The sequence below is a fragment of the Homo sapiens genome, chromosome 6 (assembly GCF_000001405.40).
Source record: "Homo sapiens chromosome 6, GRCh38.p14 Primary Assembly".
Lineage (NCBI taxonomy): Eukaryota > Metazoa > Chordata > Mammalia > Primates > Hominidae > Homo > Homo sapiens.
In genome coordinates this window covers 118,648,471-118,664,579 of record NC_000006.12, presented here as the reverse complement: position 1 = coordinate 118,664,579, position 16,109 = coordinate 118,648,471, and the positions used below count along the sequence as shown (strand labels likewise).

General features: G+C 40.5%; 1 protein-coding gene across 11 annotated transcripts in view, besides 2 other annotated features; it reads left to right on the top strand.

Moving 5' to 3' along the window:
- Positions 1 to 16,109, top strand: part of CEP85L (centrosomal protein 85L) — a 249,318-nt gene that overhangs the window by 45,510 nt on the left and 187,699 nt on the right. For 3 of the 11 annotated variants that reach the window (XM_011535810.3, XM_017010846.2, XM_047418760.1), the window contains 2 exons: positions 59 to 169; positions 11,772 to 11,880. The exons of 1 other annotated variant lie outside the window; for it this stretch is intronic. In XM_011535810.3, the coding sequence (XP_011534112.1) occupies positions 11,799 to 11,880 (82 nt within the window). In that variant the 5' untranslated portion in view covers positions 59 to 169; positions 11,772 to 11,798. 7 more of the 11 variants (NM_001178035.2, XM_047418759.1, XM_047418758.1 and 4 more) reach the window with 3 other exon arrangements.
- Positions 12,636 to 13,095: a silencer, noted in NCBI's record as "silent region_17502". NCBI's record gives its function as "represses an Ori minimal core promoter by ATAC-STARR-seq in GM12878 lymphoblastoid cells {active_cell/tissue: GM12878}" and the evidence as "EXISTENCE:reporter gene assay evidence [ECO:0000049][PMID:35858748]".
- Positions 13,296 to 13,605: a silencer, noted in NCBI's record as "silent region_17501". NCBI's record gives its function as "represses an Ori minimal core promoter by ATAC-STARR-seq in GM12878 lymphoblastoid cells {active_cell/tissue: GM12878}" and the evidence as "EXISTENCE:reporter gene assay evidence [ECO:0000049][PMID:35858748]".

Genomic DNA, 16,109 nt, shown 5'->3' with positions numbered 1-16,109 from the left:
CCCATTGCTCCACTTTGCAACTTGCATGCCTCCTGCTTAGCCCTCCTTTCATCCCCAGCTCTTACCCGGCTCTACAAATTACTGAAGTCCACTGATAGTCCCTCCTTCGTGAAGCATTCCTGAAGACCCCAGCCTGACAGATCTCCCCTTCCTCTGACCTCCTGTATTGGTAATGTATTGTCTACACCTTTCTTAGAACCCCTCATTTTCTCCCGTGAATTCTAGTTTATTTTCATATCTGTCTCACTATTTTCAAAGCTAGGTTTGTACTATGTAATATAGGTGGCTATTAGTATCCATTGGTTTCACATCTGCAGATTCAACCAACCATGAATTCAACCAACTGTGAATTCAACCAGTGGCTGATTATAACTGTTTGGAAAAAGGCCAGGTGCAGTGGCTTATACCATGATCTCAGGACTTTGGGAGGCTGAGGTGGGAGGACTGCTTGAGCTCAGGCGTTTGAGACCAGCCTGGGCAACATGGCAAGACCTAATCTCTACAAAAAATGCAAAAATTAGGCAGGCATAGTGGTGCGTTCCTGTAATCTCAGCTATTCGGGAGGCTGAGGCAGGAGGATCACTTGAGCCCAGAAGGTCAACACTCCAGCCTGGGTGACAAAGCAAGATTCTGTCTCAGAAAAAAAAAAAAAAAGGAAAAACTTCCCAAGAATAAAAAATAATAGTACAACAATAAAAAAAACAACATAACAGCTATTTACATAGCACTTACATTGTGTTAGGTATTGTAAGTACCCTGGACATTATTTAAATATACTGGAGGATGTGCACAGGTTATATGCAAATACTATGCCCTTCTATATAAGAGACTTGAGCATCCTCAAATTTTGGTATCTTTGGGGATCCTGGAACCAATCCCTCTTGGGTACCAATGGACAACTGTAGTTTTCCATTTCAAAAACAATATGTCAAATCTATATCAAAAATCTGGAAGAGAAAAAGGAAAGAATGCATCTCATCATTTTGACACAAATTCTGTACTCATTACTTTAGGCTGTTTCTTCCTAAATCTTTTTCTATGATTATTTTTTCATTGATTTAATCCTGGTGGATATGCAACTTCATATCCTTTTTTCAATTAACATTACATCACAATCATTACTCAAATTGCTACATAGCCATCATAAATATTTCTTTAAAGGCTGCAAAATATTGACTACTTTTCTATTGTTAAAATTTTAGATTGTTTATCATATTCCATCGTTATAAACAACACTGCAGTTGACATTTTCATGCATACAGTTTTTCCAGTGTGTATGTTTCTGTATGCACATGTACATTTTGATTTTTTTCCCTTAGGATAATGTCCCAAAAGGAAACTTACTGAACCAAAGAGCCAGATTGTTTTTATGGCACATATTGCCAAGTTGCTTTCCAAAAGAGTTGGTCCCATTTATACTATTAGAAGTGTATATCGGTTTCTCCAAACCTTCACCAAAATTATTTTCTTAATTATTTAATCTTTGTATAAATGAAGTAGGATGACTTTAGTTCACTGCTTTTTTTTTTTACCATGAAAATTATTTTAAGCATTCAAAAAAGTATGCAGAAAAAATATATAACCCCTGGTTCTGGTTTGTCAAGTCTTAACAAATTTCCACATTTTCATTAAAAGCCTGGCTTGACTAACTCAATACTTATGCTCTTTCCACTATATCAGGATGAATACATGAGAGTCAATACTACATATATAACTGAAATCGTCATGCACCACTTTCCCAAATCCATTCCAATGCCTTCCTCCCTCCCTCTACAGAGACAACTGGAATTTGATGTTTATCATTCCTTTGCACTCCCATGTCCATATGTTTTAATTGTTAAATCTTTACTTACTAATGAAGTTGAACTTTTTAATATACTATAGCTAATATTAAAGTGCTCAGATTCTAGAGTCAGGTGGAACTGTCTTTGAATTCCTACTCTGCCACTAATTAACTATGTCTCCTGGCACCTCTCTATGACTCATTTGCCTCATCTATGAAATGGAGATAATAATAACTCATACTATTCTTTTTTTTTTTTTTCTTTTGAGATGCGGTTTCCCTCATGTCACCCAGCCTGGAATGCAGTGGCGCGATCTCGGCTCATTGCAACCTCCGCCTCCTGGGTTCAAGCGATTCTCCTGCCTCAGCCTCCCGAGTATCTGGGATTACAGCCATGCGCCTCCACACCCAGCTAATTTTTGTATTTTCAGTAGAGACGGAGTTTCACCATGTTGGCCAGGCTGGTCTCGAACTCCTGACCTCAAGTGATCTGCCCACCTTGGCCTCCCAAGGTGTTGGGATTACAGGAGTGAGCCACCGCACCCGGCCAATTCATACTATTCTTTATCATGTTGTTATGAAGATGAAATGGGAAGCTGCATGTGAAATTCTTGGCACAGTGCTCACTTAGCATGCAATAATACCTTTTATCATTACTCTGGTTTTTCTTGTGAATTATTCGCCCCTTTTCTTAGCAAGATTAGATTACCTAAAACTTGTGAAGCACTTTTCCAACATGATCCTATTTATTCCTCACAATGGCTTTATGAGATAGTACTGCAATGATCCTATTTGATCCCAATGATAAGCCAGTAGGGAGCAGAGCTGTATCAAAACCCAAGTCTCTGGTGCTGGCACCTCTTGCTTTGAACTTATTTGCTGCAGCTCCATCAACTTAAAAGTCATTTCGTGATACAACGTCATTGGTTTATGAGGTGGCTTTAGTGCTATTCTTTAACACAGTCATTATAGACAGATCCCAGTTTCTCTCCGACTTACAATTGTCTTCCTTCTCTATTTTTTCCCTGAATATTCTATATCAAAATATTTTATTGTTCTATAAAATTAAATATACTCTTAAACTCAACAAATAACATTACCACTAATAATATATTTACATTATTAGAGATTTAGGATTTTATAGGGTTGGTATTACTTTTTTCTGATTTTTTTTGTAAAACAAAGATCCAGGCAATTCCTGTATCCAAATTTCAATTTACTAATGCATTAGTCCTAAACATTTTAACTAAAATAAACCCTTAAGGATTCTGAATATTTATTAATAGTTAACTGGAGCACAATTAAAATTTTATTATTTATAAAAATGTAATTTTAAAAGAAAAAGAATAATAACAAACCTTATTGAAACGTATTTAGAAACCAAATTTTGAAATACCTTATTTTTAAGTTGGTTTTTCAAGGCACAAGAAAAAATACTCTGGATATAGGTTCTAATCTACTCTCGTGTGCATTAATAGGACACATGTATAAATACCAATTTTGTTTATACAAGTTTGAAACTACAAGAACATCTTAAGATGACATTATATGGTAATCATATTTTACTCAGTTTATCAATATTCCATTTTTCCTTTGAAAATTCTGACACCTTGGCTGGGCGCGGTGGCTCACACCTGTAATCCCAGCACTTTGGGAGGCTGAGGTGGGCAGATAATGAGGTCAGGAGTTTGAGACCAGCCTGGCCAACACAGTGAAACCCTATCTCTACTAAAAATACAAAAAATTACCTGGGCGTGGTGGCGGGTGCCTGTAATCCCAGCTACTGGGGAGGCTGAGGCAGGAGAATTGCCTGAACCCAGGAGGCCGAGATTGCAGTGAGCCGAGATCATGCCATTGTACTCCAGTCCAGGCGACAGTGCGAGACTCCGTCTCAAAAAAAGAAAAAAAAAAGAAAAAAAGAAAATTCTGACACCTTTCACATTAAGTGACAGTCTCCTTATCCTCAAATATGTTTGAGAAAACCAGATTCAGAGAACTCAAGGTGAGAGTTAATGAGGCAATTACAGACATTACATGGCCCCAGGCGTAGTGGAATGAGAGTATCTTCAAAGGTGTCTAGAGGAGCAAGGAGCATCTTAAGACTCAGGAGGCATGTGTGTTGTGGACACAGGATCAGGCAAAGGATATTGACTGAAATAAGTATGAAGTACTTTGAAAAGACATTCAATATAGATCCTGTGAACCTAAATACAGTGTTTGTTTTGGTTTTATTCCAATGGGAAAGTTATCTGGCTCTTTTTTCTCCCAGAAATCATAGTGTTCAAGTAAGTAGGAGTATGGGTTACTAGAGATCTATAAAAGCCATTGCCTTATAAATGACAGTATGGCCCCTTATCTGGCAATCTGCCAACTCCCCCAGCTCCTGACTGCAGCAGTACTCCACAGCTGGCCTTTTGCCAGGATCAGAAAAGAGATCAAGGCATATGAGCTTCACTGTGGCTCTTACTTGAGGTCTTCAGCTGACACCTTCTCCAGGGAGGCTGGCAGCCACCTCAGCAGAAAGCCACCTTGAAGCCTATACAGTTTACCTCTTCACAGAGGTTATACTTGCAGGCAAATGCCCACATGTGTACCAAATCATTTTAACGAAGCCCATCATAACCCTCTGGATGAAAATGCAACAGAAAAACTACAATGCCTGGTGCCAGTTCACATGTAGCAGATAGGTACTTAAGGGGTGATAGCTACCTCTGCCACGAAAACAAGGAGACACACTCTCATCTGCTGATTACAACTAATTTCCTCTAAGACATTTTAAGCCATCTGTTCTAAAAGTTGGTATGTGGGAAGATAAAAATTCTTTTAAAAAAATTATGTGGTAACACCCAAAATCAAAACTGAAGCTAACGTGGCATTGCTCATCTATGCTCTAATTTTTTGGAAAACAGTTTCAGGCAAGTTAGGACGGCGGCAGGCCCAGGAGCTGAACAAATTCAGGGGCCATCTTAGGGCAAGCTGGGGTGGGATTAGATGTTCCAGTCTGCACTGTTCTCCTAAGCCTGCCGTGATCTGAAACTTAGATCTTGGGCCTGGGCCAGAACCAGACTGACCTTCAAGGGTGAGCAAAGAAGGCAACAGCATCCAGACAACTGTGGTGACGAATTCTCTTGATATTGCCTTTTCTCTCTATTCTCCCCGAATGCTGATTGAATGCTCCCAATCTACCATCTCCCTTAGTGTCACTATAACTACTGCCTCCTACCGAAATTGTATGCCTTTTTAAGATTATGAAAATAAATGCTAACTACTATGTCTTTTGGTCTCAGTTGAAAACAGTTATCCTTCAGCTATCTTTCGCAGTATAAATAACTTGCCCAACTTTGCTAAAGCTGAAGTTTGCTCCATAACTTCATTAGGAGATTACTGTAATGGAAAAAAGTACCTAATTAATTAATATAAAGTCTATTATAAAGATTTGTATAATGTCTCAATTAGAGAATATAGATTCATGTATATCATATATATATCTTTTCATAATTTCTTTTGTCATCATCCACAGCATATGCATGAGGAGTATAAGTTGATTTTAGATGCTTTGTTCATCAGTAATTCATCTCATATTCCGTGTGAGCACTTGTAATAATGCATGTATTTGATATTCAGGTGGCTCTTTGTGTTTTCATTGTAGTAACTGGTGATTCAAGGTGCATAGAACATTAAAAAACTAGTGTCAATTACTATAATGAAAGTAGAGATTGGTTATTCTACTAGGGTTTTAAAAACTTTTAAGTCTTGCTTGTAAAAAAAGTCTGTAAGATTTTTTTCTGAGTTCAGTTTTAGGTAGTATGTTAAAAATAGATTCCCCCAAAATAACACTACAAAATATTAGGGCTGTTTAAGAAATACCTTGTTTATGCCGCAAAGTAGAGGAAAAAAGACCAATTTTAATTTGGTCTAGATATGTCCAAATATAATATGATTTTCCCGTTTTTCTAAAGCACATTTTCAAAAGTGTGTTTGGGACAACCTGATGTGTTAAACTTTTGAGATATAAGCAAAATAGTTAAATGTCAACTTAAAATATTTATTAATTTACTTATAACACTTATTAAATATACTGATTTAAATGTTGCTTTTTCCACTTTTATATTTAACATATATTTACAATCATAATTTCGTAATTATTGTATTCCATTTTAAAGTGGTCTTTTAAAAGTTTATTTATTTTTAAAAATACAGGTTCTAGATTTTACAGCTTGAATTTATGTCAGGCTAAGAGACTTCTGCAATCAGGATACTGTTGAACAAAATAAAATAATTAAGAGTGACCCATACATGAGAGATTATAAGGACGGCAGGACAAAGTAACTCTATTGTGTTAAAAACAAAAGAACAAAGAAGCCTTCCCATATAGCTATTTTATACTGGTTACACAATAGAAAATTAAAAAGCTTGAAATGTTATAGTGAAGTAACCGATCCTTCACACTTGTGTCTGGTTTTAGTTTTTCTCCCCTACTTTGGTACTCAACAAATAATTGCCAGATGAATAATAATATCTCTAAATCATCTTTTTGTTTTTTATATGTATTATTTTTATGACCAGAAAAAAAGCCATAAAGAAATTAGTTCTCCCATAAACCTGAAAATTGTAGTTAGACTTGTCTGTTTTTCTGAGTTTATTATAATAACTTGTTAAAATTCCAGACCTCCACTGAAATCTTAGCAAAAAGGTCCACTCCTTAAATTAGCTCAGATTCCTCTAGGGATTGTTTAAGTGATGTTAACTCTATTTACAGTTCCAGAGATCCCTACATTCTTCCACTGGGTAAGCAATACGCTGAAAATTCTTTGGAATAAAAAAACCTTACCAACGGGAACAGAGTATATTGAATTGAATTCTCTTCTAGTACCCAGAAGTAAGGAAGCTACTATGAAAACTGTCTTAATGATTTAAAATTATTTGAGTAGTGAAGTTGTAACTAATTATTCTTAATTAATGAATTAAAATCCTATTGACATCAGTTAACTCAGTAAGTTTCACAAGTTTGTAATTTGCTCCTGGAAGTACTCTGAATAGTGGCAAACTTTTTTAATTGGGGGGCAGTAGCTCCCTGGCCCAGTCCAGTCAGAAGCATTGAGGACCTTCTCCTCCAGAGTTCCATGTGCCCAAGTGGTATTCTGAGTCCAACTTGAAACTGTCGTGTCTGTCTTTCTGTTTTGGAGACAGTCTCACTCTGTCGCTCAGGCTGGAGTGCAGTGGTGTGATCTTGGCTGCAACCTCTGCCTCCTGGGTTCAAGCAGTTCTCATGCCTCAGCCTCCAGAGTAGCAGAGACTACAGGCATGTGCCACCATGCCCAGCTAATTTTTGTATTTTTTTAGTAGAGAGGGGGTTTCACCATGTTGGCCATGCTGATCTGGAACTCCTGACTTCAAGTGTTCTGCCAGCCTCAGCCTCCCAAAGTGCTGAGGTTACAGGCGTGAGCCACTGTGCCAGGCCCAGTTCTCTCAATTCTGCCTTTCTCTGCTGTTCAGAACTTAAGACATTTACTCATTTATACTCCTGTATAGTCTCAGTCTATGCTGCTACATGCTGCCTTCCTGGTAACTCATCCTCAGTATACTGTCCTCTCTGGGAAACATTTTCATCATGCTGTGTAGACCTCCTGTTTTCCTTTTTAAAACAAAACCCCCAATCTTCATCTTCCTCACAGAATGTGTCAGTTGGCTTTTCTGGAAAGCGGATGCTAAAATGGAACTAGGGGTGTAAGAGGCTTATTGGAAGGTAACACCTGTGAAAGATGAAAGGCACAGGAAGCAGGACTGGAAAGGAAAGGCTCAGACCACAATGCACATCTGACAAGTTCCCAGTCAACTCAACAGCAAGCTAGAGAACAAGGACTGATGATTAGAAGGGCTCTGCATTGCAAAGAATGGCCAGGCCCAAGTATCTCGGCTGAGCTTTGTCACTGGCTGGGGATATCTGGGAAAAGCATGGAGTAGGGCGACTGTGGTTTACAATAATCTATTGTTATATTTTAAAATAGCTAGAAGAAAATAATTTGAATGTTTCTAGCATAAAGAAAATTTTTAAGATGATGGACATCCCAATAACACTGATTTGATCTTTACAAATTATATGAATGTATTAAATTATCACATATATGCCCAAAATATGTACATCTATTATGTATCAATAAAAAATAAAATTAAATAAAAAGGCTGAGGCAGGTCCTACAGGCACTAAAAGTTGGAGGCTGTCAGCCAACTACATTCCTCATGGCTGAATATCAAGGTCTTTCTTGAAGGGAGATCAGAGAGACACACTCCAAGGTCACCTCACAGATCAATTCCTCCACTGTCTCATCTCTGCAGTCTCAAACTTCAGCATCCTCCTCTCCCACCCTAACATCGTATCTTTCCAACTTTTACTCCCTTACTCTCATTATATTTGCTTTTCAATTGTAAAAGTTCCACTCCTTTATTCCCATGACCTTCTCTCCACATTTCAGCTTTGCCTTGATTTAACTGCTTTTTCCAGATAGGCTACACCCAGTTTCCCATCACTTCATCTATTCTTCTGCCAATATCCTTACATTCTTTGCCCCTTTTTCCTGTTTGAGTGCCCACACTGCAAAACCCTGTTTATCTATCTGCCTTCTTTCTTCCTACACTCAAACTGCTGGCTACAGCTAAAGAAAACCATATACCACCGCAGATTAATGTCACATGGTTTCCAGTCTTAGCTGAACCCTAACACTATACAGAAATCCTATAGTTAGGTATTTCCTTCTCATATGGCATCTGAAAAGAAATCTTCTAATTTTTATTTCACAGCATGTTGAAGAGCATGGCGGAAAAGGCATGGGCTTTGGAGTCACATGGATCAGATTTGAATTCTAGCTCTTTACTTCCTGTGTGACCTTCCCTAACTTCTCTTTGGTCTTTTTTCCCCATCTGTAAAATGGAGGTATTACTAACTACTCAACATAAAATAGGTAACTGGTTTAGTGAGAAGTCTCAAATCATTGGAAGTATATACTCAAAGTTTTTTCTCCCCCAATAACACTGCCAGCTGTACACTGTTGAAAATCCCCTTTTCCACTGAGTACATCTCAATCCAATTCCCCAACATTTTGAACATTTTCAGCTTTCAACAGTCCTCTTCCCCACCAGGGCAGGTCAGGTAGGAGGCTGTGTGTGGGTTTGTGTGTGAAGGCATGATCTGCTTTCTTGAATCCACACTTCCAACCTTCTATTTACTGTTCCAGTGTCTGAAAAAGCAGGCAGGGAGGGAAGAATTTGTCTTCTTATGCACTGTCCAGGTTGCTGTCCCAAACAAGTAAATGATCTTGTCTCTTTTCATACGCTCAGGATGACCAGGTGGTTACCATAATAAGTTCCATTGACAAAGATGTCAGTCCTAAGCAGTTCCTGAAAACATTGATGGTCCTTTGGAAGACTTCATCTGTTGGCAGAATTCTATCCCTCCCACACCCACTTCCTATCCCAAGGACTGCTTCAGTGGTCCATATCATACCTTCTTTCTTATTGGTTATTGCAACCCAACTCTGGAGTCAAAGGTACAGGTGAGATTCATTTTCTGTACCTCCCAGGAATCAGGGACTTGAGATAAGGTGTCCTTGTCTTGGCCTCGCCATACCACCTAGCTACCTCTCCCTAATTTTCCTTCCTTTATTTTGGTAGCACTGGGTAGGAAATCACAGCCTAGAATGAAGGTTTCTATGAACTTGGCTCCCAAAAATTTGGTATATATTTGTTAAGAGTGTACTATTTCACCATAATTCCTGGACTAATTAGTAACCCCAAAGGGTCAGGAAAAGATCCCAGTCACTACTTTATTCTGATACATGTATATAAATTATCATCTACAACTGACCTGGCCTATACCAATGAATGTTATTTTTTCTTGGTGAGCTATAACAGTTACATTTCTAAATTGTATGTTTGTCTGTATTACCAATATAGGATGTACACATACACTGTTCTAACTATTTTACAAAGATTAACATGTTTAAACCCCACAGCAATCCTGTGAGGCAGTTATCATTATAATCCCCAATTTACAGGTAAGGGAATTGAGGCACAGGTTAAGTAACCTATTTGTTTTCCATTCACCTATTTGAATTCTACCTGCCAGGGATCCAATTAAGATAGTCAAATCCATCTTCAAAAGAAAGAGTGTTTTTTTAAATTATAAATGATTTTTGGGATTACAACAATCCACAAATAATTGGATAACTTGTCACCTTTGTGATCTGGAAGAGGTTGTATAGCATGGTCCTTGATACACACTTGATATACAAGAATTGTCTAGTCCTTGGAATCTTTTAGAATTCATTCATAAATCTCTTTCTATGTAGTAGCAATAGTTCTTTAGGAACTATTTCAATTGTTATTGGTTGGTTTACTTTTCCTACATATTGTTGGGTTCTTTTGCTATTTATATATTTTATATTTTTGTAAATATAAAGCTCTCTTGAGCTTTCCTCATATTATGCATGGGGTTTCCTTCTCATTTTATTTATTTTTTAGAGGCAGGGTTTTGCTCTGTTGCCCAGGCTTGAGTGCGGTGGCACAATCATTACAGCTCACTACAGCCTCCAACTCCTGGGCTTAAGTGATTCTCCTGCCTTGGTCTCTCAAAGCACTGGATTACAGGCATGAGTGACTGCACCTGGCTCTTCTAATTTAAAAATATCACTTTTATTCATTGTCATATCCCTCTTCAGTTCTGTAGATGATGTTTGCACAATCTGATAAATTTGAATCAGAAAAACACATGTAAGATAGCTCAACTTAATCAGTTCAAAGATTTATATACAAATTTAAGAATTATAAATGCAACACTTATTTTTCAGTTTTAAATAATGTCTTTTTTTGAAATGAGACATTTTAAACAAATAGTTTAATATAGTTTGGTATTAAATGTGGCATTTTTAGTACTATTTTCTTCTTTTGTGATCTAGTTTATATTCTTAAAAAGTCCCCTCCCAAAACATTAAATATCCTAATTTCATCTGAGCAATGATACTTATACACACACACACACACACACACACACATACACAGAGTCACTATTTTCATTACTTATATCTGCACAGAACAACTGCCAAGATTGAGGTTTATTGAGGTTCAACGATAACTGTCTTTGCTTTTAAAATTCTCCTTGTAGTCCTAACACACTGTCACAACAAAACAAAAATATGGCAGTTTACCACATGGGGTTTAGTAATGGTTAGATAGTCCTTAGGTTCTCCAACTTGTGTTATGATAAATTTTAATCATTCTGAAAACCATGGCTGTATCATACCATGTACATATCATCCATGTATCATGGATTTGGGGGGAAGCATTAGTTCAGTATATACTCAGAATTCATATGATTAAAAGAAATGGATACTTTAGCAACATAATATTCTCACTTAGTATTTCAATTAGTTCTAATTGCATTAGCCCTCTATCCTCCCAAGTTTAATTACTAGGGACACAAAAATTTCATATTTGGTGCCAAGTGCCAAAAGAGCAACATGTTTTTACTGTTTGCTTTTACTCTGTAATAGATATTGAAATATTTTAGATACTTTCACCTTCGCATGTACTTTTTTTGTGTGTAGTAGCATGCCCTTTATATTGATAAAAAGATGTAGAAAACCCGAGTAAACGATTTTCTTTAAACACTGTTTAGAATTAGGAAATTGGCAGTTTTGAAATAATAAGTGTATTTTAAACTCGCAAAGGCCAAGATATTTCTGTAATATTTTATACACTTCTTAGAACTGCATCACAAATGAATTTCAAAAATTCTGTTCCTGAGACTGTGGTAACTACAAAGCATGAAAAAAAAATCTATACATAGTGCTATAGCTTCTGCTAATTTTCTTTTTGGGACTTAAAAAAATCTATCCTCTTCAAGTGTTAGATAAAACGAGCTAGTGCACATTAAAATAATAAAAAGGAACCAATCACATTCGTCTTTCATGTTTCTGTATCTTTTTATCATCAGAAACAGCTGACCCTTGGCTAACATTACATGATTTGGAGAAATAATTGGAAGTCTACCACAGGGAGACTAAATGTAAAACTCCAATCAGATAAATTACAACACGGATGTGGTAAGTGATAGAACACACACCTAAATCTAATTTAACTTCCAAGAATTTTAAGTAGTATTTCCCAATTAAAATGTCTTTAAGGGAAAAATGCAAATATGAGGCCTTTGTTAGCAAGATTCCAGAACAGGAAAAGCGGAACTCAAAGCCTCTCTAGTTAAGCGACCTGCGTTCCGACTTACCTCTGAGTGATGGGCCTACTGCAGAGCCCGCCTCCCACCACAGTGCTGGCCCAGAATTTTTTATACGAACTAGTTCGTAACTAAACGTTGGAAGCATCACCATATTGCCAGTGAGAAGTAAGATTTAAAAATAAAACGATGCTGTCCCTTTTCGCCCTTCCTTAGGACGTCTCCTCCTGCACTAAGGGTTCAGGTGAAGGGTGGAAACTGGCCAAGAAGAGGAAGAACGTGAAGGAGTAGGGGGCAAGGAGGAAAGGGCTCCCTTTACAGACTTTGGTGCCATTTTTACTTTCTGCTTGCTAATCTGAAACGTTGTGCGATTACAATGACGGCCCCTCTCCCCCTCGGGTACTAATTACCCCCGGGCCTTTTCCGGTGCACATCCCGGTGCTATATTCTGGTGCCTGTGTTGCCCCCACGCCCCCATTAAATTAGTAAAGGAAAACCACCCCTTTTCTGCCCCTAAAGTAATCTATAAACGAAGGAATACAGATGAGGATTTAAATCCCAATCCTAATTCCAAGGGAGGCTGGAAGCCCCCTCAGCCGCGCCCTGGCTTGGCTTTTTCATCTCGAGCGGTTGTGACGCCAGGGGCAGGTCTTCCACGTGTCTTCACAGAGGTGCCCGGAGGGAGGGCGTGAGGGATTACCCAAGGGAGGGGCGAGTATCGCAAAATAGGCCAAGTCGCTGCCCTCTACTCAACTCGCAGGGCGGGAGGATGGAGACAGAGGGATGCGGCGGGAGGGCGGGACAGCCCAGTCGCCGCCAAGGAGGCGAAGCGGGGTCGGGGTAGCTCACCCGCCCCCCGCAGTCCCCGCCCCCCGCAGTCCCCGCCCCGCGCGGCGCCGCGCACGCCTGAAGTCATTGCCCGAGGCCCCGCCCCCTCGCGGCCCCAGCCCCGGCTCTGGCTCTGCCGGCGGAGGGGGCGGAGAGAACCCGCAGCTGCAACTTCGCCTGGAGCCTTTGAGCCTGGGCTCAGCCGGGGATCTAGCAGCCGTCACCGCCGAGTCGCCGCTTCCCCGGCGCGGGCCTCAGCCCAGCCGGCTTGGCCATGGCAGGCGCCGGCAGTGCGGCGAATCTGGCCCCTGCGCTCCCCGCCCGTAGCTGAGCAGCCGTTAACCAGCCATCCCGCCTTTCCTCCTGCCCGTGTCGCCGAGGCCCACGCTCCGCGCAAGTTTCCGCCGCCGAAGAAGCAGGAGGACGGACGTGAGGAGTCGGGCGTCCCTGGCCCACCCGGCCCTCTCGCCCGCGATGTGGGGGCGCTTCCTGGCTCCGGAGGCCAGCGGCCGGGATAGCCCCGGCGGAGCCCGCAGCTTCCCTGCCGGTAAGGAACGGGACAGCGCCCCGGCTGGGGTGGGGGTCACGGCCGACCGCGGCGCCTCGGGACCTCGCCGCCGCTCCCCTCCCGCCTCAGGCCTGTCTTACCCCGGCCGCCTCCCCGACGCCGCCGCGTGCCCAGTGTCCTCCCCGCTGTCAGCACCCGGGCTGACATATGGCTTGCCGCGTCCCAGGCGCATCAGCCCCGCATCCCGTCGTCCCCGCCGCTCCTCCTTGGGCTGCAGCCCCAGCGCCCCCAACTTCCAGCTCGCTTGGGCCCCCGCGGGTTGGGCTTTATTGTCTGCCCGGTTTTTTCCTTTTACTCGTGGGGTGTGTGACCTGCGTGATAACGGGGCTTGCCCGTTTGCTCGCGGGGACCCGGGCGGGAAGGTCGCTGCGACAGTGCTGCGGCGGCGGCCCGGGCGCGTCTCGGAGGGGCCGCAGTTCCGCGCCCTCCCGACTTCTGGTAGGCGCAGGCTGGGGTTGGCTGTGCCCACGCCCGCAGCCGCTACTTTTAGGGCGCGTTTTCGGGAGGGAGGATGCTGCCAGAGATGCGGCCGCTCTCAGCCACCCCCAAGGGAACTTCAGCCCCTCGGAGGAACCTGGTCGCCGCCCCGCAGCCCCTGCGGCGTAAGAGGAGGGCGCGTCCTGCAGTAGCCAATGGACCATTGAGCAACCGGGTTACGAATCCGTTTGGCTTTCCGTGGCCCCTTCAAGGAAAATTAGGGGTTTGCTGCATTCCGTATCTGAAGGGGTCTGTTTGTATCGGACAGCCATTTCATGCTTGCGTCGCTCAGAAGTTGTGTAGGAGCCACAAAATTAGGATAAATCCTCCCCTAACTTGGGATAAAAAATAAGTCTTGGGTTGCCTGTGATATGTTCTCTAAAGATGATGGTCTTTCCAGGCACTTTTAATCTTGAGTTTTGAGGCCTTTTGAGAAACTGAGTTATATGGACATTCTGCGCAGAAAAAACAATGCCATATATACATACGCAAAATTTTCCCTACAATTTTAGCTGTTTCTGGGACTCCTGTTAAGTAACCTTGCTCCACAAAGTGTTTGAGCTCGACTTGTGTAACTTAGAGATATTTTTGCATACATTTCCAAAGCTGTTATTTACAAAACAAAAAAGCAGAAGCAGCATTTGGAAAGGGGTCTTTTGATGGTAATATTTTCTGCTATTTAAAAAAAATCAGGCACTGACCGAGTCACTAGTATCAGGCTATTGAAATTTCGAATAATGCAATTCTTTGATAGTTTAGATATTTGTGATGTGTGGTTTTTAAAAAGACATATGTACATTTTAAAAAGCCAGAGTTAGATTTGAATCATTCACTTAAGTTTGGTCCTGAAACACTTAATGTATGTTAATGAATGATTTGAATCATTCACTTAAGTTTGATCCTGAAATTTAATGTAGGCATGAATTTAGTAAAAAGCAGTATTAAGTAGGGATTTTTTTTTTCTAAATTGTATGTTATTTGTCCTAAGGAGACAGTTCAGAGGTTTCCCGAGTTTACAGATTATTCACAAATCCTGTCATCTAAGTAACTTCAGTGATTGAGAAGCTACTTCATTATCCCTAGGGGCTGGAGGGAGTGGTTTCAGTTTATCTGAAAATGTCAAAAGCCATCTGTAATGTCTTTGCAATCTAACCTATTAAAATTTATTCGTGATAATAGCAGCTTGTTTGGAGGTATATCACTGAGGCATGGTGTCTATTTTTCATTGTTTTCTAGGAAGAAGAGAACATTTTAGTATTTAAAGTTAGGTAACGAAGGACTTTGTTATGTTGCAGCCTCTAGAGAGACATTTGCTATGGCATAGAATAATAGTGGAAGAGGATACTTTGTAATTACTACCCTAATTGAAGAAATTTGGACAGTATAGCTGTACCAAAGTATGTATTTTATCTCAATTTGTCAGTAATAAACTATTGACAAGTCAGGACATGCCTTTGTAAAGTTTTTTTTCAGTTACATGCTGAAATAGTAATGTAATTATTTATTGTGTTTCTTCCCTTTTTGAGCAAATATAAATATTTAAAATTATCTTAGATAATTTTAAGTTTTAAAAAGTTCTACCTTAGATGAAAAACTTGTGTTGCTTCTTGTGCAAGTGAGCAGATGGTGAAGGTCAAGATAATGACCTCTGAGTTGATTCATGTAGGGACCTTTTTTCCTGATAATTGGAAGGAAATTTTTATTTTTGAAATATTGTTCAGTATATCTTTTGAATAATTTGAGCAATTATTCCAGCCCTAAAATTGGACTTGTCTGAAAACAAAGTGTGAAGGCAGGGATAAGTAAATAATTTCTGGTATTAAAATGAGTTTATCTTAATATGTGGATTAATTCAAGCTGTCCTGAAACTGGTTTATTTGTTTATACAAATATATAACTAGACTAAAGGAAAAGCCAAAGGTACTATAGAACCACTTTAGTTTTTTTTTTTTTTTTTTTGAGACAGTCTTTCTCTGTCGCCCAGGCTGGAGTGTAGTGGCGCGATCTCGGCTCACTGCAAGCTCCGCCTCCCAGGTTCACGCCATTCTCCTGCCTCAGCCTCCCGAGTAGCTGGGACTACAGGCTCCCGCCACCACACCCGGGTTATTTTTTTGTATTTTTAGTAGAGACGGGGTTTCACCGTGTTACCCAGGGTGGTCTCGATCTCCTGACCTCGTGATCCTCCTGCCTCGGCCTCCCAAAGTGCTGGGATTACAGGCGTGAGCCAC